The 19429-nt window shown below is 57.4% G+C and overlaps 2 protein-coding genes across 7 annotated transcripts, besides 12 other annotated features; both read right to left on the bottom strand.

Annotated features, from left to right (window-relative positions):
- Positions 1–10452, bottom strand: TBX10 (T-box transcription factor 10). 2 transcript variants are annotated; one of them, XM_047426879.1, is made up of 11 exons: positions 10103–10452; positions 9300–9459; positions 8295–8469; positions 7693–7838; positions 3694–4010; positions 3514–3615; positions 2887–3058; positions 1646–1801; positions 1301–1368; positions 1016–1110; positions 1–592 (listed from the first exon to the last, which is right to left on the bottom strand). In XM_047426879.1, exons 1-11 carry the CDS (start codon positions 10450–10452, stop codon positions 303–305), a joined length of 2031 nt encoding a protein of 676 aa, XP_047282835.1. In that variant the 3' UTR covers positions 1–302. The 2 variants fall into 2 exon arrangements, with proteins under 2 accessions (XP_047282835.1, NP_005986.2); NM_005995.5 differs by lacking the exons at positions 7693–7838; positions 9300–9459; positions 10103–10452 and having other exon boundaries at positions 3694–3961; positions 8164–8461.
- Positions 664–1193: an enhancer, noted in NCBI's record as "H3K4me1 hESC enhancer chr11:67399437-67399966 (GRCh37/hg19 assembly coordinates)". NCBI's record gives its function as "activates a minimal SCP1, AML or CMV promoter by ChIP-STARR-seq in naive H9 embryonic stem cells {active_cell/tissue: H9 hESC(naive)}" and the evidence as "EXISTENCE:reporter gene assay evidence [ECO:0000049][PMID:30033119]".
- Positions 1722–2251: an enhancer, noted in NCBI's record as "H3K4me1 hESC enhancer chr11:67400495-67401024 (GRCh37/hg19 assembly coordinates)". NCBI's record gives its function as "activates a minimal SCP1, AML or CMV promoter by ChIP-STARR-seq in naive H9 embryonic stem cells {active_cell/tissue: H9 hESC(naive)}" and the evidence as "EXISTENCE:reporter gene assay evidence [ECO:0000049][PMID:30033119]".
- Positions 2252–2779: an enhancer, noted in NCBI's record as "H3K4me1 hESC enhancer chr11:67401025-67401552 (GRCh37/hg19 assembly coordinates)". NCBI's record gives its function as "activates a minimal SCP1, AML or CMV promoter by ChIP-STARR-seq in naive and primed H9 embryonic stem cells {active_cell/tissue: H9 hESC(naive and primed)}" and the evidence as "EXISTENCE:reporter gene assay evidence [ECO:0000049][PMID:30033119]".
- Positions 3075–3633: an enhancer, noted in NCBI's record as "H3K4me1 hESC enhancer chr11:67401848-67402406 (GRCh37/hg19 assembly coordinates)". NCBI's record gives its function as "activates a minimal SCP1, AML or CMV promoter by ChIP-STARR-seq in primed H9 embryonic stem cells {active_cell/tissue: H9 hESC(primed)}" and the evidence as "EXISTENCE:reporter gene assay evidence [ECO:0000049][PMID:30033119]".
- Positions 3634–4192: an enhancer, noted in NCBI's record as "H3K4me1 hESC enhancer chr11:67402407-67402965 (GRCh37/hg19 assembly coordinates)". NCBI's record gives its function as "activates a minimal SCP1, AML or CMV promoter by ChIP-STARR-seq in primed H9 embryonic stem cells {active_cell/tissue: H9 hESC(primed)}" and the evidence as "EXISTENCE:reporter gene assay evidence [ECO:0000049][PMID:30033119]".
- Positions 10453–11252: 800 nt separating the features above from the next.
- On the bottom strand, positions 11253–19428 carry ACY3 (aminoacylase 3). 5 transcript variants are annotated; one of them, XM_017018551.2, is made up of 9 exons: positions 19281–19428; positions 16214–16287; positions 15506–15717; positions 15139–15159; positions 14390–14585; positions 13985–14078; positions 13743–13850; positions 13458–13567; positions 11253–11637 (listed from the first exon to the last, which is right to left on the bottom strand). In XM_017018551.2, the coding sequence occupies exons 3-9, from the start codon at positions 15667–15669 to the stop codon at positions 11422–11424; spliced, it is 909 nt and encodes a 302-aa protein (XP_016874040.1). In that variant the 5' UTR covers positions 15670–15717; positions 16214–16287; positions 19281–19428; the 3' UTR covers positions 11253–11421. The 5 variants fall into 5 exon arrangements, with proteins under 5 accessions (XP_016874040.1, XP_016874038.1, XP_016874039.1 ...); XM_017018549.2 differs by having other exon boundaries at positions 15506–15761; XM_017018550.2 differs by having other exon boundaries at positions 15506–15761; positions 16214–16321.
- Positions 12924–13493: an enhancer, noted in NCBI's record as "H3K4me1 hESC enhancer chr11:67411697-67412266 (GRCh37/hg19 assembly coordinates)". NCBI's record gives its function as "activates a minimal SCP1, AML or CMV promoter by ChIP-STARR-seq in primed H9 embryonic stem cells {active_cell/tissue: H9 hESC(primed)}" and the evidence as "EXISTENCE:reporter gene assay evidence [ECO:0000049][PMID:30033119]".
- Positions 13494–14061: an enhancer, noted in NCBI's record as "H3K4me1 hESC enhancer chr11:67412267-67412834 (GRCh37/hg19 assembly coordinates)". NCBI's record gives its function as "activates a minimal SCP1, AML or CMV promoter by ChIP-STARR-seq in primed H9 embryonic stem cells {active_cell/tissue: H9 hESC(primed)}" and the evidence as "EXISTENCE:reporter gene assay evidence [ECO:0000049][PMID:30033119]".
- Positions 14552–14611: an enhancer, noted in NCBI's record as "active region_5118". NCBI's record gives its function as "activates an Ori minimal core promoter by ATAC-STARR-seq in GM12878 lymphoblastoid cells {active_cell/tissue: GM12878}" and the evidence as "EXISTENCE:reporter gene assay evidence [ECO:0000049][PMID:35858748]".
- Positions 14632–14831: an enhancer, noted in NCBI's record as "active region_5119". NCBI's record gives its function as "activates an Ori minimal core promoter by ATAC-STARR-seq in GM12878 lymphoblastoid cells {active_cell/tissue: GM12878}" and the evidence as "EXISTENCE:reporter gene assay evidence [ECO:0000049][PMID:35858748]".
- Positions 16810–16889: an enhancer, noted in NCBI's record as "active region_5120". NCBI's record gives its function as "activates an Ori minimal core promoter by ATAC-STARR-seq in GM12878 lymphoblastoid cells {active_cell/tissue: GM12878}" and the evidence as "EXISTENCE:reporter gene assay evidence [ECO:0000049][PMID:35858748]".
- Positions 17300–17822: an enhancer, noted in NCBI's record as "H3K4me1 hESC enhancer chr11:67416073-67416595 (GRCh37/hg19 assembly coordinates)". NCBI's record gives its function as "activates a minimal SCP1, AML or CMV promoter by ChIP-STARR-seq in naive H9 embryonic stem cells {active_cell/tissue: H9 hESC(naive)}" and the evidence as "EXISTENCE:reporter gene assay evidence [ECO:0000049][PMID:30033119]".
- Positions 17350–17769: an enhancer, noted in NCBI's record as "active region_5121". NCBI's record gives its function as "activates an Ori minimal core promoter by ATAC-STARR-seq in GM12878 lymphoblastoid cells {active_cell/tissue: GM12878}" and the evidence as "EXISTENCE:reporter gene assay evidence [ECO:0000049][PMID:35858748]".

A 19429-nucleotide genomic window follows, 5' to 3' on the forward strand; every position in this document is an offset into this window, starting at 1 on the left:
TCATGCCAAATAGTTTAATGTTAGGGGGAAGGGAGAGGTAAGGCAGGGTTTTCGGGAGTTACCCCCAAAGCAAGAGGGCACAGTATTCAGGCTGCTGGGGTTGGGAGATAGAAGTCCTGGTTCCAAGCTTGCCATGGTCCCAGCCTTGCTGTGACCCTGGGCAGGTAGCCTCTTTCTCTAGACTTTCACCTACCCTGCTCTCCTTGAGACAGAGATGGGGCTGGAGGGGGCGGGGCAGAGGCTGATTCCCACACCCGGTGTAAGGTCCAGGGTAGCAGGGCTTCCCCCCAGGGCTTCTGGCATCACTGGGAGTCCTGGCCAGGCCCCAGGCACACCACAGTGGGGGACAGGAGCCCCAGCCCAGCTGGGAGAGGCAGGCCTCCTTGATCCCTATCAGCCCGGATGTTGGGGAGGGGGTATGGTGCTGGTCGGGTCCTTGGGATCCCTAGGTGGCTCGGGGCTCCAGAGTACAGGCTCTGATACGTGACAGGCCTGTAGGTGGCCGGGGCCAGCAGGACCTCAGGTGGGGGCAGCAGCTGATGATGGAGCCAAGCAGGGGTCTTGGAGGTGGAAGCTGAAGCTTTGTTGGGGTCTGAGGGAGGAAATGAGTGGACTCTGGGCCTCCCATCGCATCCTCATCCCTCATCCCAGGCCTGCCCTGGTCCCTTCCTGCTCCTCCTTCCCAAGTTACCTACCTCTCAGCCTTCGCCTTTGCTTTTCCCTCTGCCTGGAATTTCTTCTTCACCTTCTCCCTCTGTCCAAACCCTTCCCAGTCCTCCAAGGCCCAGCTTGAGAGCCACCTCCTGCAGGAAGCCTGCCTGGCACCCCCTGCCTGTGCTCTTTGCCCTGAGCCCCATATTGTCTTAGGCATGTCTGCTTCCCCCTCCGTGTGTCCACACAGGGGCCCTGTGGGTTCGCTGAGCTGCTGAAGCCCCTTCCTGGAGGTCCTGTCCCTTTGCCTTCCGCCCACTGTGTACACCTTAGTCCCACTATGTCTGCAGGCCTGGGGCCTTACCTTTCTCCCTGTCTGTGGCACCCTTCAGCACACAGGGACTGAGGCTGCTGTGACTCCGGGCTGGGACACTGAGCAGGGGCCGTGGGGCCACAGGCCTGAAAGAGCAAGCGAGAATGGGGGGAGGGGATCAAGGGGAAGAACCCAGGCCAGGGATCATGGCCAGCTTCAGATGGTGGGGCCCCAGGATGGGTCAGAGGGTGTGACCCTGAAACAAGGGTCAGGAACTGAGGCCTTAGGATATGCCTGGGGTGGGGGTGAGGGGCTAGGGTCAGGGTCAGACAGTACCAGGAGTCCAGGTCACTCTCTCTAAAGCCTTTGGCAAAAGGGTTGCTGGCGATTTTCAGCTGGGTGATCTGCAGGAGACAAAGTGCAGTTGTGGGCTGGCCATGAGCCAGGCTCAGCCACCTTGTCCTCCCGGGAACCGGCAGTCAGGAGGCCCTGGCACCTGGGCCTCTTGGCCCAGGAACTCTGAGCTGATAGGAGTGCGGGCAGGGCCTTGACTGATGGCAGATACTCAGGGCAAGTTGGGAGGGCAGTAGTCTGTGCCAGTGAGGGCTGCAAGCCTCAGGGCTCAGTCTCCACCCCTGTGAAATGGGCCTGCAGCGGGTGCTCCCGAGCTGGTTCACCCACCCTGTGGTTCTGATAGGCTGTCACTGCTGTGAACTGGGTCTCTGTGAAGATGAAGGACTTGAAGTTCTCCTGGGCATAGCGCTCACTGTCCTTGCGTGGGTCCACGAAGACCACGTGGAAACGGGGCTGGTAGCGGTGCATAGAGTTGAGAATGATCTGTGGAAGGGACAGAGCAGGGGTACAGGGGTGAGGCGGAGTACAGCGGACTCCCTGAGGCTGGAGTCCTTCCCTCCAAGCCGGGAGACTGCCCTGGGCCTGCCACCCTGTTCCTTTCATGGCAGCACAGGGTCTGAGCTGGAGAGGCTGCAGTTCCGTGTCAAAGGCCCCTTTGGATCATGGATCCTTGCCTCCATGTCCTCTCACACCCCACATCCCAGCTGCCACCCACTGCCTGTGTGCTGGCCCGTCACTGTCGCGTTCACCAGTTTCCTCGGTTGCCTCCTGGCCTGTCCCCTGTCCCCGCCTTACCCCTCTGTTCCTTCTCCACACAGCTGCCCGGGAAGCCACATCATATGCCCCCTGCTCCTAACCGTCCAGCGACTTCCACCCCACACGGTAAAAGCCAGAGCCCCCCGAAGTCAGCCCGACCCCTCAGGCATTCGCCTCCTTGGCTTCCCCTCCTGGCTCCACTCCGGCCCCATGGATGCGTCTTGCAATTCTGCCGGCCCAGGATTCTCTGGCCTCAGGGCCTTTGCACCTACTGTCCCCTCTGACGGGCATGGGCCGCTGCATCCTCCACCTCCTTCAGGTCTTCAGCTCCCTGCGCCCCCTGAGAGCAGCAGCACCCTTTCTCCGCCCCCCTTCCGTACCTCTGCTTCCTCTTTGGCATTTGTCCCTATCTGAGACGCTGGGGACAGTGTCTTCTGGACCCTGCCTTTGCCCCAGGAAGTGACCTCTGTGAGGGCAGGGATCGTTGGCTGTTTGACCAAGTGTTAATGATGCTGTGTCCACACATAAAGCGGGCCCGGCCTAGGCTGGGCGTTCCATACCTTGTCCTCCCTCTCCTTGCGGGGGACAACGTATGCTGGAACATTCCCCCGCCCCCACCCCCTTTTCCACCTGCCTGGACAGCCCTTCCTGCTGTGCCACCCCCAGCCAGGTGAGCTCGCCACCCCGGCTCCCCGCCCTGCCTTGACCATCAGCAGCAGGCAGAGGTGCTGGGCACCAAGGCCATTGGACACCAAAGTCCCTACCAGCCCTGACCCCAGGCCCTTCCGTCCCCACCGTGGCCCCGGCCTCACGTGGCCATTGTCATCCAGCAGGTTGTTGGTCAGCTTGAGCTTGTCAAAGGACACAATCTGGCGCATCCACTGGGCACCCTTGGCTGGCGAGTCGGGGTGGAAGTGCACGCGGCCAGGTGTGGCTGGGTCTGCCTTGCCCGCCACCAGCCAGGCCGAGCTGTGGAAGGCATACCTGGGGAGCACAGCGAGGTGGTGAGGGCTTCCCCAACCAGAGTCACGCCTGAACAATACAGGCGGGGTGAAGGGGCTGCTGCCGACTCCAACACTGCTCACCCCACCTGGTGGGCACCTTGCTAAGGAACCCAAGGCTCAAGAGAATCCTGTTGAGACCTGAGTTCCCTGTGGCTGCACCTGGCTGGTGGATGACAGGATAACCCCTGCTGCCCTGGGCTAGACCTCTCTGCCTGCCCAAGGCTAGCCCACTACCCATGGAAGTCTGCTGGGTACCCTGAGCTGGGCTGCCTCCTGCCCTCAGGCTGTTGTTGCGTGTCTGTCGTCCTGCCCTTAGGCTGGACCTCCCTGGCATTGTTTGGACAGGCCCCTGCCTCACCTTGGGGTGCAGGAAGGGTCTAATTCCTGGTCTCAGCACCTGAGACCTGAGCCTTTGCCCCAGGCCGGTCCCCGCACCTGTATCTCTTGTCGTCCAGGGGGATGAAGTCCATGAGCAGGGCGTAGTCGGCCAGGGAGTCCATGCCCAGGATCTTCACCTGGAAGGGGGGGAACATCCTCCTGCGGGAGGGAGGTGCTCAGCAGCCGGATGCGGCTCCAACCCTGGCCCCTGCCTCACCCCGCCCCCGCTGCTCACACCTGCCTGCCTTGGTGACGATCATCTCAGTGCCCAGCTGGTTGAATTCCTCCCACAGAGGCTTCATCTCCAGCTGAACTGTCACTCTGGACACACGTGGGTTCTTGGGGCCCTGCCCAGTGGGCTCGGCCACAGCTTGGGCCCCAGTAGAGCTGGTGCAAGGGCCTGATGGGAATGGTGACCCCAGCCGGGGCTCCCAGCCAGAGCTGGTTGTAGGTAGGGGGTAGGTCTCTGAGGGTGCAAGTATGCCGAGGCCAGCAGATAGGAAGGCTGTGGAGAGAGGACGGAAGTGTGGGCCCCACGCATCACCCAGCCAGCTCTTATCCTTCAGGCTGCACCTATATGCCTCTTCCTCCAGGAAGCCCTCCCTGACTGCCAGGGCTGTGTTCTCACAGGATCCCCCACTCAGCATCACTCTGTGAGGTAAATGCTCACTTAAAGTTTATTTTGCCAGCAAGCTCCTTGACGGTAGTGTCAGGGCCTGTCTTGCTCCCCAGAGAATGTTTGGGCCATCTTGTGTCTATGTGGCCTCAAGCAAATTGTTTCACCTCCTGGAGCCTCAGTTTCCACATCTGTCAGAAGGGGCTCTTAATACCTGCCTCACAAGGCCGATGTGAGGATTAGTGACCATGCACAGGGGCTGGTGCACAGGGGGCCCTTCACAAACAGCACCTGTTCTAGATGATATGTGTGTGGGGCGGGGGAGGGGGCAGGGGTCTTCCCCAGCTCTGTGGGACCCTGCCTCCCGGTGCTGCTGAAGGAGAGCTGAGCCAAGAAGAGCCCCCCATTCAGCACCAATTACCCATCCCTGACCTTGACAACCCGCCCAGAGCCTGCCTCCAGAAACCCATCCTACCGTCTTTTTCTCTGGTCTCTGCACTCTTTTCTAAGCATCTTGTCTTTTGATCTGCAATCCCGGCACAAGTCTTGGCCAAATGCTTTGTCACCCTTCACCCCTCCAATTAAAAAAAATCTTAGCTAAATAAGATACCATTTTATACCCATTAAGATGGCTATTAGAAAAGAAAAGAAACCAGAAAATAAAAAGTGTTGGTAAGGAGATGGAAAAATTAGAACTCCTTTTTTTTTTTTTTTTTTTTTTTGAGGCAGGGTCTCACTCTGTTTCCCAGGCTGGAGTGCAGCGGGAGCTCTGTCATAGCTCACTGCAGCCTCGACCTCCTGGCCTCAAGTGATCCTCCCATATCAGCCTTACAAGTAGCTGGGACTATAGGTGCACACCACCACACACGGCTACTTTTTTTTTTTTTTTGTAGAGATGGGATCTCCCTATGTTGCCCAGGCTGGTCTTGAATTCCTGAGCTCAAGTGATCCTCCCACCTCGGCCTCCTAAAGTGTTGGGATTACAGGTGTGAGCCACTATGCCTGGCCTCAAGAAATTGGAACTCTTGTGCACTGCTGGTGGGAATGTAAAAGGTGCAGCTGCTGGGGAAACAGCATGGTAGCTCCTCAAAAAATTAAAACTAGAATTACTATATATGTATATATTATTTATTTATTTATTTATTTATTTTTTTCCAGAGTCTTGCTCTGTCACCCAGGCCGGATGGATCTCGGCTCACTGCAACCTCTGCCTCCCTGGTTCAAAAGATTCTCCTGCCTCAGCCTCCCGAGTAGCTGGGATTACAGGCGTGCATCATCATGCCTGGCTAATTTTTGTATTTTTATTAGAGACGGGATTTCACCATGTTGTCTAGGCTTGTCTCGAACTCCTGACCTCAGGTGATTTGCCCACCTCAGCCTCCCAAAGTGCTGGGGTTACAGGCGTGAGCCATCATGCCCAGCCTAGAATTACCATATGATCCAGCAATTCCACTTCTGGGTCTATACCAGAAAGAATTGAAAGAAGGAACTCAAACAGATATTTGCACACCCATGTTCTTATGAGCATTATTCACAATAGCTGAGAAGTGGAAGCAACCCAGTGTCCATTGGAAAATGAATGGATGAACAAAATGGGGTCCATCCGTGCAAGGTAATAGTATCCAGCCTTAACAGGGAAGAACATTCTGACACATGCTGCAACATGGATGAGTCCTGAAGATGCTGTTACACGAAATGAGCCAGACACCAAAGGACAAATACCATATGATTCTACTCATAGGCCGTACGTGGTGAGGCCAAATCATAGAAACAGAAAGTAGAATGGTGGTTGCCAGGGGCTGGGGAGGAGGAGATGGAGAGTTGTTGTTTCATAAGGACAGAATATCAGTTCTGCAAGATGCAAAATGTTCTAGAGATGGATGCTAATGATGGTTGCACAACAGTGTTGTTAGAAATGCTTGTTTTCCGGTGCCGTAAAGAAATAGCACTTGAACATAAATTTAATTTCCTCAGCAAGGCCATTTTTTTTTACTTTTTGCAGAAAGGGTACACTCGCCAGCAGCTTTGCCATGAGAGTACACCGAACAAAGGAGACAGGGTCATTTATAACCTGACGTGTCCACCCTACTGCTGTGTCTGGTTCCCATTGGCCGGAACGGGACCTCACATTCTGTATTTGTCCTGATTGGCTAGTAACTTAGAACTTTTAAAACTGGCAAAGGCAGAGGAGAACAAAGGAAGGAGGAAGTAACTTATAGAATGCTGAGAAAGGTAAAAACACCTTCAAATAAGGAAGAGGAACAGGCTATGACCTAATGTTTGCTTGGACCAATATAAGCATGCTAGGGCAAATATTTAGGCTAAATTGTGGGAGCTAAGAACATAAAATATATTGATTTTTTTTTATTATTGTTAGCAGATATTTAAGAATGTTAGTACAGGTCTTTGAATAAATTTTGCTTCTAAGAGAAGTTATTATTTATTCTAATTAGATGGCAGGAAAGTCTATGAAGAGGAACCTCTACTTTACTTTTTACAATGTGAATGTAATTAATGACACAAAACTGTGTATTTAAAAATGGTTAAGGTGGGCCGGGCGCGGTGGCTCATGCCTGTAATCCCAGCACTTTGGGAGGCCGAGGCGGGTAGGTCACTTGAGGTCAGGAGTTTGAGACCAGCCTGGCCATCACGGCAAACCCTATCTCTACTAAAAATACAAAAATTAGCCAGAAGTGCTGGCGGGCACCTGTAATCCCAGCTATTCGGGAGGCTGAGACACAAGTGTCGCTTGAACCCAAGGGGGTGGAGGTTGCAGTGAGACATGTTCACACCACTGCACTCCAGCCTGGGTGACAGAGTGAGACTCTGTCTCAAAAAATAAATAAATAAATAAATAAATAAATATAAATAAATAAAAAGGTTAAGATGGTAAATTGTGTTATGTATATTTTACAATTAAAATGTTTTAAATGGAAAAAAATCCTGAGAAACAGAACTATTATTTTATAGCAGCCCCATAAGGGGCTGAGAAGCTGGAAGGGCCATGGAAGCCACAGTGGCTGGGAGTCAGGGGACAAGGTTTTATTCCCAGCTGTGTCCCCACCCGAGTGGCTTTGGGATATTTACACGACTGTAAGACTATGGGATGCCTGGAGCAGAGGGGGGTGCTGGGTGTTGGAGAGATGGATGAACTGGCAGACAGGCGGGTGACGGAGGCCCCCAGGTGGCATAGCATCTGCTGAGGTACCAGGTGGACGGCACCTGGCCAGGGTGAGCTCTTAGTAGGTGCCTGGGGAGAATGTGGAGCCCAGGGCCATGGCCACGTCCTCAGCAGCCCTGAGAGCTGCGTGCAAAGGCCCTGGGATTTCTGCAGCCTCGCGGGGGAGGGGGCGTCTTTGTGACAGGGATGGGTCACATCAGGTTTGAGGACCCTGGGCAGGATGGATAGATGGGCTGATGTCCCCCTGCCCCTGTGGCCAGTCCATCAGAAGGGTAGCTGGTTGTCGCCCGGCTGCCCTGCTGGGGCGGGTACGTCATCCAGGTGATGCCAGCCCCCCTGGGTCCATGGCAATGGGTCCCAAGGTGGGGGGGCTCATGATTTCACTGGGCCTGGAGGCTTTGCCGGTGGTCACTGGCTCCCAAGTCCTCTAGGGGCTCACCCGCTGCCCGTCGCAGCCAATGTGCTGCCCCTCAACACTTTCAGGGACTCTGGTGGGGGGAGCCTGTCCTTTGCTCAGTCCCTCTAGAAGCCAGCATTCCTCAGGGCCCAGAGATGACAGCTTGCCAGAAGCATCGAGTGTCAAGTCTGGAAGGGAAGCTAAGGGCTTCTTGTCCAGCCCCAACTTTGATGCTCAAGGAGCTGGGGCTCAGGGAGAGGCCCGAGGTCACACGTGCCCAGTGAGGCGCTCATCTCCCGGAACAGCCTGGTCCCTGGCATCTCCCATAATTGCACTTGGGCAGCCGTGAGCCCTGTCCCGTTGGGATCTCAGACCTTAGCCTGGGGTGCCCCTGCCCCACCCTCTTGTGAAGGACCTGGGTTCAGCGGGGCTGTCTTGGTTCCCACCCTGCCCACCCACCCTGGAACCTGAGCCTGACCCATGAGGCCACCTCTGCTTCAGAACGTAGCCTACCTGCCATGGAGACAGAGAGGCTGTCCGGCTCCTGGAGAAACACTGCTTGGCTGGGGCTGGGAACCTGCCTGCTGGAAGGGGTGGTCACCACTCGTCCACTCGGCACCTCAGCTCAGCCCTCAGGTGCTCACACAAGCTGTAGTCTCTCGGCAGGACGGTCCTTGCCTCCTCGATCGCCCTTCGTCCACGTCCTGAGGTCGTGGTCTTCCTACTCGAGCTGGACCCCTGGTCTCCGAAGGTGAGATGCAGGCTCTGGGGCGTGCAGCGGCCCTTCTCCAAGCCACTCTCGGGCTGTGCTGTCCAAGGCTGTGCGGGAGGAGGGCAGGTGGGAAGGTTCTGACGTTGCAGAGCCCCCCTTCCTCCCTCCTTGTCCTCCCTCTTCAAGTTCCTCCCTTCCCCAGCTAAGAGCCCCCCAGCCATTCCTGATCGATGGGCCCAGGCGTGGCAGGGGTGAGGGGGTGGGAGAGTGGTTCTTGAGGACGGCTGGGCATCTGCAGGGGTCCAGGCCTGGCTGACTGGAGGGGCTGGGGCCCCGGGGGTTGGGAGGCACAGTGGGAGCAGCAGATTGCGGGCTGAATGGCGGAGGAGGTGCCCTCCCACCAAGACCCAGACCCCTGACCTGAGGCTGGCCCCAGCCGGCCGGCAGATGCGCAATTGTCAGGAGCAGTGTGAGCAGGAAACGCAAGGGGGCAGCAGCAACGAGTGCAGTCAGCATAGAGCCCCAGACTGGATGGCGGGAAGCCCAGGTCCTGTGGCACGTGAACCCACACGCACAGACACATGGATGAACTCAGGGAGCTGCGCAACGCTGGCAGGTCCCACAGTCTCCGTGCCTCAGCCTCCCCAGTTAACCTAAGCACATAATCTCTTCCGCCTGTGATGGTCTAGCCCAGCCTGGAGAGCGGTAAGCCCATCCCGCCTGGAACTGGGGGCACTGCCCTGGCTGATGGTGTCCACGGAATCCCCATCTGGACATGAGTGGAAACGGTGAGGCTGGCCCAGGTGAGAAGTGGGCGTCCGCTCTGCCTGTGGGTCTGTCTGTTCTCTCTGGCCTGACCGGGCACCCTCTCCAGGTTGTCTACAGCCTGTGCTGGGCATTCAGGGGACACATGGATCACTCTGCAGGGAGGCAGAACCTGGAGGTCCCCCTGAGAGGCTGCCAGTTCCTTGGTTGAGAGTGCTCGCTGGCCTTTTGACTCTTGCTGAATGGCACAGAGTGGGTCGTCTGGCTGGAGCCCCCCATACCTCCTCCAGAATCCTGTCTTGGGGATGCTGGGTTGGCAGTGGCCTTGATTCCTAAGAGGGGGCATGGAGGGGCTGGGGGGCGGCAGGGCTGCTTCTCCCTGAGCGCTATGTTCTGGGCGCAGCTGCAGCTCAGGGATGCCTGTGGCTCAATCCCTTGTGTCTCACATCTCAGCCTGCAGAGCTGGATGGGACCCCACACAAAGACGGTGGGCTGGCTCTGGGGGATGTAAAAGGAGGAGGGCCGGCCCCTGGCCCAACCCCATGCCCGGCTGTGTGAGAAAAGGCTGCCAGCACTTTGGAGTTGCTGCCAGGCAAGATGGGAGTGCTCTGTGTGAGTTGGAGGGTCCCAGCAGCCCCTTGAGGCTATACAACAAGGTGTAGTCATCTGCCCTGGCCATGGCATGGTGGGTGGGAAGTGGGGAGATGATGGAGGGAGTTGGGGGATCCATTCCAGTACTGGTGGCTCCCCTTCACCGAGACACCCAGGGGAGGGCCAGGCTGGGATTGTAGTGGCCCCTGATACGTGTGTGTGTGCGATTTTGATCTGTGTGATGGGAAACAACCCCCCTCCCACACACACACACGAGCACACTGACATGCTAACCCACATGCACGCAGACACACGGATGAACTCAGAGCCTGCTGACTCGCCACATGGCGCACACACGTACAGCTTCTGTGCACATGGACTTACCACACAGCACGCGCACAGACACAGGCAGGCCTCCCTGCACACCCCTCCCCGGCTGGCCCGCCCGCCCTGCCTGCCCGAGGCGCCTGCTGGCCCCCTGCCCCCTCATCCATCTTGCCTGCCAGCCTGTCCCTGGTGCCCCCGTATCCTTCACACCTTCTCATATCACTGCTCAATACCAGGAGGTGGCGTGGCAGCCGTGGCCGCAGGGAAATGGATGGGCAGGGTGGGGGTGTAGAGGGCTGGGGGAGTGGCACTGCGAGGGGACTCTGGACTCCAGCAGCCCCAGATGTCCAACAAGAGTCCATTAGGCTCAGGCAGGTGCGGGCAGTGAGGCTGCAGCCAGGTCGCATATAGCCCTGCCTATTTGTCCTGCCATGACACCCTGAAGGGTGCCAGCATCAGGACAGAGGGGCCCTCAGCAGTGGGCCTCATGCCGGCTCGCCTGACATCAGTGCGCGGTGTCCTGGGGATGGCGGAAATGGTGGCTTCCCAATTAGAGCTGGGAAGTCCCTGTGCCCCAACCCAAGCCACCTCCTCCCTGCATCTCTGCAGTTGGACAGGCTGTCCTGCATGGGGACAGCCTTGTCCTGCTGTGGCCCTTCCCCCAGCCCTGACTCCCTGCTTGAGCCACTATGGGCACCGGGCTCATTACACACTTAAAAATGCACATCTGGCCACATAGAGATCCCCTTAGAACGCCCAAGGAACTGAGGCTCTTGGAAACACGTGTGTGTGGGAAACGCACAGACACGCACGCCAAAGAGCATCCAGGGCAGGCGCCATGCACGGACAAACACACATGTGTGCACAGACATGGGCCTGTCTCTGCGCTCCCCACACTCACTGTCTGGCCCCAGGACTATAGGAGGGTTGGGGGGTCCCCCTCTGGGTTGTAGCCTCCTCTGGAAGCCCCTCCGCTGGATCCAGAGCAATCCTTCTTCAGGTTCTCCTCCCACACTCTGGAATCCTCCCCCAGGCATGGATGGACAGCTGTGGGCACAGAGGCAGCCACCACTGGCCCCAAGACACTTGCAGGTCCAAGGCTGCACTGGCCAGACCTCCCCCAGATCCTGTGGTCAACCTCCCTTCCTCCATCCACTTCCCCAGCCAGAGAGGAGCCGTGCAGGACAGAGGACACAAACCATGGACCTCTGGACATCTTCCATTTTATAGAAAGGGAAATTGAGGCCAGGGGTTGGGGAGGCCTGGCAAGGAACATGGTGCATGGTAGGTGGCAGAAGGGACCTCTGTGCTCAGAGCTGTGCCTCAGGACCCATCGTTCAGATGGGAAGACTGAGGTTGGGGAGGTGTGTCTTGGGTTAGGAAGCTGGGCTCGGGGCAGGGGTCAGCGCGGGCATGGCAGGCACGGTGAATGTGAACTTCTCAGTCTGGACAAAGGCAACGCCCTTCTCATAGTAGGCAGCCTCGTTAATGAACACGGGGTACACCGTGGACTCTCCCTCATAGAGCAGGTCCTCCCCACTGAACATCTGGAAGATGGGAGCACCAGGCTGCAGTGGCTGGAAGTCTCGGTCCTGGGAGGAGAGCCAAAGGCCAAGATTGCTGGGGCCACCTCTGCCCTGGCCCCAGAGGGGGGTGACCCCAGCTTGACACCCAAAAGATGCCCCTCATTCATGGCTTTTCCCACCCATGCTTCACTTCCTTAATCCATATGACAGCAGGTCTGGTGAGATACCAGTCTGCTCTGTGTCTAGAAATGAAGACACAGGTCACCTTGGGGTGGCATGTGCCCATGTGGAAGTGGACCCTCATGGATACGGGCACAGGTATTGAAGCTGGAGTTCAAATTCTTGCTAGCTGTGTAACTGTGAGCAAGTCACTTAACCTCTGTTTCTCAGCTTTCTTGTCTGTAAAATAAGGATTACAATATCTCCTCCTATCATTCTGAAGTTTAGACTAAACAGGTTAATAGTGCTTACAGCAGTGTCTGGCACACGGTAAGTACAATATGATTCTTTATTAAATAAATTTTGGCTGGGCGCAGTGGCTCACGCCTGTAATCCCAGCACTTTGGGAGGCCAAGGCGGGTGGATCATGAGGTCAGGAGTTCAAGACCAGCCTGGCCAACATGGTGAAATTTCATCTCTACTAAAAATACAAAAATTAGCCAGGTGTGGTGGTGAGCGCCTGTAATCCCAGCTATTCGGGAGGCTGAGGCAGGAGAATCGCTTGAACTCAGGAGGCGGAGGTTGCAGTAAGCCAATATTATGCCACTGCACTCCAGCCTGGGCAACAGAGCGAGACTCTGTCTCAAATAAATAAATAAATAAATTTTAAGCCTGGGCACAGTGGCTCATAATCTCAGTGGCCTGTAATCTCAGCACTTTGGGAGGCTGAGGTGGGCAGATCACTTGAGGTCAGGAGTTCGAGACCAGCCTGGCCAACGTGGTGAAACCCTGTCTGTACTAAAAAGACAAAAATTGGCTGGGTGTGGTGGTGAGTGCCTATAATCCCAGCTACTGGGGAGGCTGAGTCAGGAGAATCGCTTGAACCCAGGAGGCAGATGTCACAGTGAGTTGAGATCGCACCACTGCACTCTAGCCTGGGCAATGAAGCAAGATTCTGTCTCAAAAAATAATAATAAAAAATAAAATAAATTTTAAAATTGTAGGAGGAGCCACCCAAATTGACTGTTATGACTGAACGTCTGCAAGGTAGCTGGGCACGGCTGGATTAAGACTGTCTAGCCCTAAACATGGACGGGATGGTGCTGCCTCCATTTGTAAGAAGGTAACTCCTCAAAATGAAACTTCAGGGCACAAAAGGCCACAAGATTGCACCAGACCCTATTCAACAATGACCCCCTGTGGCAGCAAGCAGAGCAGCAGCCAGTACGTTCTTCTCAGGCACCCAAGGGAAAGGTGTGGAAGCAGGATTGCCTAATCCTGGAACATTCAGGAAGGGAAGGCCTGCAGAGAGACATACTGCCAACATGCATGGGGATGCTCGAGGAACCAATTGAAAATCAGAAGAGAGTTTTGTATTTGCACCTCCAAGCAGGTGAATTGAGTCATGCCTGCTCCATGTCCCCTCCCTCTGCCTTTTACAGCCAGGGTAGGGTTGTCTCCATCATGCCCTCCACAGGAGCTATGGGGATCACTGTGGCCTCTTGTGCTAGGCCTGAGTGTGGGGTTCCAGGGAAGGCAGCAGGGCCAGGGGAAGTGGGATGGCGGAGCCCAGCCTCCCATCCTGCTCCTCAACCCGAGATGCTGGTGAGCTCGTGGGAGGCTTGGCTGCACCCCCTGGGGCTCAGTTTTCCTTGACAATCCTCCTCCCCAAGGCTGTGGCCCCAGAAATCACCCCCCACCACACACACACACACACACACACACACCTGCAGCTGAGGATGCACAGTGCCTGCCAGGTGCCCGGCCTCGGTGCGGGGGAAGTCCACGACGCCCACGGGTCTATAGGCTTCCATCTCAAAGGCAGGAAAGGCCGTACCTGTGTGGGAGGCTGGGTGTGTGAGCCCATCCCTCCCTCCAGGCTAGGGGACAGACTGGGCCGTGGGGGTACGTCAGGGCTAGATCCCAGCCTGCCTGTGAGCCTGGCTCCCCAACCCCTGAGCCAGACCTGCTCTTCCCCGGACCTGTTTCCCGAAAGTCCCCTGGGGTCTCACCCTGGTTGAAGAGTTCGATGAAGTCCAGAACTGTGGCCACCAGGGTCCTCATCCTTGAGAAAATGTCAGCCCGCAGCACACCCTGTGGCTGGGGGCCCAGCTCCAGACCTGGGGACCAGGAAGCAAGGGGTTAGGCAGGTGCAGGACCCATATACTCCTTGAAGAGGCCCTGCCCCTTGGTGACTGGACCCGCCCCTCCAGCCCTCCTGGCCCCGCCCACTTCTCAGAAGGCTGCGGCCCACCCAGTCCATTTTTGGCCACAGAGTCCAGGTTGTAGCTCTCCTCCCCAGACCGCTGGTACAGGAAGACCTGGCAGGACAGCTCGGGGTACTGCAGCTGGGGGCGAGAGAGGCAGGTTAGGGGCCCAGGCCTACTTGGGAAGGGAAACTGAGGTGGGAAGGTGTTGCATGGAGGAAACACAGGGCACCACCCTCCTTGGCCAGGTCTCCCTCTACCCTCTGGCAGGGTAGGGGAGGGGGTACCGGGGGCCTGGAGTGCTGGCGAGTGGCAGACCCCAGGGACTGGAGCCCAGGGGAAACTAGGCCCGGGGAAGAGGGGCTAAGCAAAGGAGGTTCCAGCATTGTCCCGCCTGCCCTCCCTCCCTCCCACTCCCCTCTGGGGAGCTGTGTGCTTGGGGCCGGGGCCACCTGCAGATGGCGGCACAGGTGCATGGCAAAGACTTCGTGGGAGGACTTCGCGATTAAGCAGGTGCCCATGTTGGCCGTGGTGTTGTGCAGGTCAAGGACAAAGTCAAAGGCCTGGCCCGAGGCCTTGGGCCCCAGCAGCTGGTTCAGCTCTCGGGCTCTTGTCACCTCATATGGGTCGTCCGGGGTGGGCCTGGAACTGTGGAGACGGGAATGGGGGACACCGATCTTCACAGTCTCAGTCAGTCTTCAGTGGTTTAAGGGGAAAGGGGCAGGGGCCCTGCAGGAGCCACTCTGAGCAGCTCGAGCGAGGGCTTTCCCTTCAGACGTTGTGGCTGTGTCCACCCCTGCCCGTGGCCCTCTTGGCTCTGCACTTCCCGGTAAAATCCAAGCTCTCAGCCTGGCCCGCCCTCCCACCTGCCTGCCCACTTGCCTGCCTCTCATGCCCTCATTCCAGCCACACTGCCTGAGCACCATGCTGGTCTCACCCCCAGGCCTGTGCTGTGCTTGGCCCTCCAGTGGAAACTCCCTCTCACCTCTCTTCCCCTGGCTAGCTTTTAGTCAGCCTTTGGGGCTTGGCTGAGACACCATTGCCTCCAGGAAGCCTTCCCTGACTGCTCTCAGCCAGGTTAGCTGCTTTGTGTAGCCTCCGGCCCTGCCTTTAGCCCCCTGGGTTATGGTTGCCCGGTTCTTCCTCTGTCTCCCCATTAAGCTTGAAGCCAACACCTTGGTCCTATTCCCCATTCTCTCACCTGAGCTGGCCAGAGCCTGGCCTGGAGATAGGATGCAGTGACTATTCATTGGAAGGAGGCATGAACAGTGATCAGGGCACACGACAAGTAAACATGGCCTGTGGGGCTAATCTGAGGGAAGAATTAGGTCTGGGATCCCCAGAAGAGGTCCTGAACCAACTTGCAGTCAGGAAGGCCTTCCTGGAGGAGGTGACATCAATCTTGGTTTCTCTAAATGTTCGGTTTGTCCCGTGGAGGAATGGGCCACATAGGCAGAGGGGAAGCAGGAGTGAAGGCAGGGAGGGCCCTGCTGGTGGCGGGAGGGAAGTTTTGTGGTGGGGACTCGGTGCCCAACTGCCTGGGCCAACCTGGCGGCAAAAGCACTCACTTGAGGAAGCTGCTGGTGAAGGTGCGGTTGAGGTCATGGTCCACGTAGCGGCGGCAGCCGGATGTGGCTGCCGGGTTGGCCAGCACAGGCACAGCGGAGAAGCTGGCTCTCTGCAGCTCTGCGGGGGCATGCAGCCAGTGCCGGGCCAGGTAGACGCCCGACATCTCGTTGCCATGCGTGCCCCCAGTCACAGCCACGCGACGCAGGGGCTCCCGGGGCACAGGCAGTGAGCACATGCTGGTGTGGGGTGCAGAACCTGGGGGTGGGCATACTTAGGAGACCCTGGCCCCGATGCAAGGGATCTGGGCTCAGGGCAAGGATGGCGGTGGGAGGCTCCACAGGGCAGCCACCTGTCAAGAGGTGTGGACAGCTGGGAGTGTCTCAGCTGTGTCCCACCTGCACCCCCAGTGGCCCTTTCTCTGAGGAGACAATTTTCCTGCTCCTTTGGAGAAAAGAAGTTTCTTTTTCCTAAATTGAGAAGAGGGGCCCAACTGTTCAGGAAGATGGGTTCACCAAGGCACACTCCCTATAGGAAGAGGACTGCGCTCCTTTTTATAGACAGGGAAACTGAGGCACAGCGTGGGGAGTGGAAAGTGTCACCAGAGTTAGCTGTGGAGTGTCTGGGTTCTAGGCAACAGCCTCGCCTTCCTGCCCCTCCTGCTTGCTCCTCCCAGCTGGTGCAGGGGTCTCAGGTCAGGGGGTACTTACCGCTGATGCGGATCTGGGCTTCCCGGGCCACCAGGACTGGCGTCTAACTCGCAGACAGGCTGGTATTCATGGGCCTGGAGATCCACAGATGGGAAGTTTTGTGGCAAGCTGGCAGACAGCAGGGGGTGGGTGGGACGGGCTGAGGTTCATGCAGCCAAAGGTCGGAGTGCTGGGGTCTGCTCCACTGCTCCTGCCCCGCCCGCCCCACGCTGCTACTTGTGCTGCCACGGCCCAACGAGTCCAGGTCCTGCGGGCAAGTTCCTGCCCCTGCCCTTCGTCCTTCTGCTGGGCCCCAGAGGGGCCACCTTCCTTAACACTACTAAGAGGTACACCCGCAGTGGGGTGGTGACTTGGTTTTGGTCACCACCAGAGCAGGCTATTGAAAGTTACTATAGAGGTGTCACCTTGATGGCCACCAAGATGACAAGCTGCCCCTCCTTCACCACCTCGGCAACATGCCTCTGTCCTTGCAGCCCGGAGAGGGCTGTGGTCACTCCTGAGTCGCCCTTACCCAAAGGTGCCATGTGGAGCCCCAGTTTTACAGCTCTTTGTTGCTTTAAGCAAAATTTTAAAATGTTTGATCCGGGATTTCAGTCATTTTCAAGGACAGTGTAACTCAGATGACTCGGTTTGCCCTGTTTTGGGAACAACCCTCAGGCTCATTTTATAGATGTGAAAACTGAGGCTCAGAAAATTGTCTGCAGGCACACAAGCCCTAGAGGCAGGCTGCAGGTGGCCCACAGAACCCTAGGGGCAGACTGTTCAGCGGCACACAGAGCCCTAGAGGCGGGCTGCAGGTGGCGCACAGAGCCCTAGAGGCGGGCTGTAGGTGGCACTCAGTGCGTCCAATGTGGCTCCATCCCCTCCTGCTGCCTCTCAAGAGCAAAGTGGGGAAGGATGAAGGTGAGGTCCCCTGCACTCAGCCCTGGGGCCTCTACCTCCCACCAGGCTCAGCTGTCTGCTGGGAGGAGCTGAGGCCAGTTCCGAAGTCACTGGGGAGTGAGGCAAGCTGCTCCGCCAGGGCCTGCTGGATGCCAGGTGCTGGGACCCTGAGCTGGAGCCTCCCCCAGGCATCGATCCTGGGCCTTCTTTACCACCACACTGGGTCTCCCCGGGCCAGTCCAGCCCTGCTCCAGATGCCAGGCCCACCAGCCTGGGGGGCTCTGGGTGGCCAGGACCCTCTAAGTTACACCCTCTCGGAAGCTGCCCCAGATCACACTCAGCTCTGTGTGGCCTGGGCTCTCCTGCCCTCCACACCCAAGGCTTCGTGAGCTCAGAGCATGGCGATTGTGGGGACAGGGGATTTGTCATCCTGGCTCCCATCAGGGCAGCTGGGATCTTGACAGGGTGTCAAGAGGGGTGGATGGAGTGTGAGGCTGAGCCCCCAGTGGGCCGGGGCTCCCTATGAGCCCCCTCCAGGGGCCACTCCTCCTGGCACCTGGAGCCTCAGCAAAGGGAGGGCAGAGACTGCCATTAGGGGGCCATGCCATGCCATCAACTCCTGTATCCGGCCCAGCCCTGGGGGCAGCTGTCACCGGCTCCATTTTGCAGGTGTGGACTGAAGCTCTAGGGGTTGGGTGACTTGACTGAGTCCTTGGCAGGTGGTGGGAGAGGGAGTCAGCAGAGGAGCCTGTCGGCCTGGGTCTGTTCCTTCCTTGCTTGGGGTAGGGGTCTCAGGGACCCCCATGCTGCTTTATGAGTCCCAGGCCATGGTCTTTGTTGGAAGGCCCCCCCAACCCCCACAGAGGCTGGGATCCTGCTGACTCGGTGTGGTACCTCTCAGGAAGGAAGGGCCTCCGTGGCAGACCTAGCTATTTTGGGGGCTGCTGGGGGCCAGGGTGCTTCCTGCCACAAGGTGCTGGGCCCCCAAGTTTAGGGAGAACAGCAGTAGGGGTGCTGGAAAGTTTCACTTCCCTTGGCTGGGGTCCAGCTTCTGCATTTCAGTGAGTGTTTATGGAACAGAACGGGGTCCAGGAACCCTCAGAAACAGCAGCCCCCAGTCCTGGCAGTGTGTGCGCGTGTGTGCATGTGTGTGCATGCATGTGTGCATCTGTACATGTGTGCGTGTGCATGAGAGCATGTGTGTGCGTGTGTGCACTCACATGTGTACGTGACAGCATGCGTGTGTGCGTGCGTGTGTACATGTGTGTGCATGTGCATGAGTATTGTGTGCATGTGTGCATGTATGTGTACATGTGTGCGTGTGTGCATGAGAGCATGTGTGCGTGTGTGCGCATGTGTGACAGCATGCATGTGTGCGTGTGTACGTGTGTGCATGTGCATGAGAGTATTGTGTGCATGTGTGCATGCATGTGTGTGTACATGTGTGCGTGTGTGCATGAGAGTGTGTGTGCATGTGTGTGCATGTGTGCATGTGCTTGAGAGCGTGTGTGCGTGCATGTGCGTGAGCATGTGTGCGTGTGTGTGTGTTGTGTGCACACGTGTGACCTGGCTCTGGCCCCACCTCCCTGACAGGCTGTGTGACCTGGAGAGATTCAGTGCCCTCTCTGGGCCTTGGCTCCACCCTGTGAAAGTCCTGGCCAAGGGCAGCTGTGGGGAGTGAGGAACAAAGGGCGGGCACAAGCTTGAAAATGGGCACATGGAGACCCCAGCATGAGTGAGGGCAGAGGATGGTGATGTCATGGGCATCATCACGGGGGCCAATTTCCTCACTGCAGTTGGGGAAACTGAGACCCAGAGAGGGGTCAGAGCTGTGGTTCCCCCCTGTGTCAGCATCCAATTAGATCATGCCTCCCAGCATCACCTCATTGCAAGATGCAATCAGATCACGCCTCATTACCCTATGCTTATAAAACCTGCCCCAGCCCTCAGCTCGGGGAGACACTGCTTTGGGAGCTGTCTAGGTGTTCTCCTTACTTGTTGCAAGAAATAAAATCCCCTATTAAATCCTCTTTAGTTAACACCCGCCAAGCAACTGAGCCCACCCGTTGTGTGGGTAACAAAACTCTGGCGACCCAGATGGGGCCGACTGGGATTCTGATCCTAACTTCTTGAGGCTCACTAAGGTAAAGCAGTGGGCCGCGGCACCTTCCCCGGGCGAACTCACCCACGTGGCCCCAGAGGGTTGAGGGTGACTCCCGGGGATCTTCTGCTTGCTGCGTGGCCCGTGGGGCTGTCACTCCGCCCTACCCCCGAAACAGCGGAAGCAGCTGCCTGGAGCTTTTGTTCTGTGCTGCTCCTTCAGGGAAGAAAGTG

The sequence above is a fragment of the Homo sapiens genome, chromosome 11 (assembly GCF_000001405.40).
Source record: "Homo sapiens chromosome 11, GRCh38.p14 Primary Assembly".
Lineage (NCBI taxonomy): Eukaryota > Metazoa > Chordata > Mammalia > Primates > Hominidae > Homo > Homo sapiens.

Coding starts and splice junctions, on each gene's coding strand:
- TBX10 (XM_047426879.1), bottom strand. CDS start 10,452: ATGCGACCTGGCTGCAGCCTCACTGCCCGCACCTGCCTGAGCCTAATG. Junction 8,470..9,299: donor CCTCTCAGGGGGACCTCCAG/GTTCTGCCTCCC, acceptor CCTCCCGCACAG/CCTTGGACAGCACAGCCCGA. Junction 593..1,015: donor TGCCACAGACAGGGAGAAAG/GTAAGGCCCCAG, acceptor TTCCTCCCTCAG/ACCCCAACAAAGCTTCAGCT.
- ACY3 (XM_017018549.2), bottom strand. CDS start 15,741: ATGTGCTCACTGCCTGTGCCCCGGGAGCCCCTGCGTCGCGTGGCTGTG. Junction 13,851..13,984: donor TGTGGCCAAAAATGGACTGG/GTGGGCCGCAGC, acceptor CCTGGTCCCCAG/GTCTGGAGCTGGGCCCCCAG. Junction 11,638..13,457: donor CTGTGCATCCTCAGCTGCAG/GTGTGTGTGTGT, acceptor CTCTCCTCCCAG/GACCGAGACTTCCAGCCACT.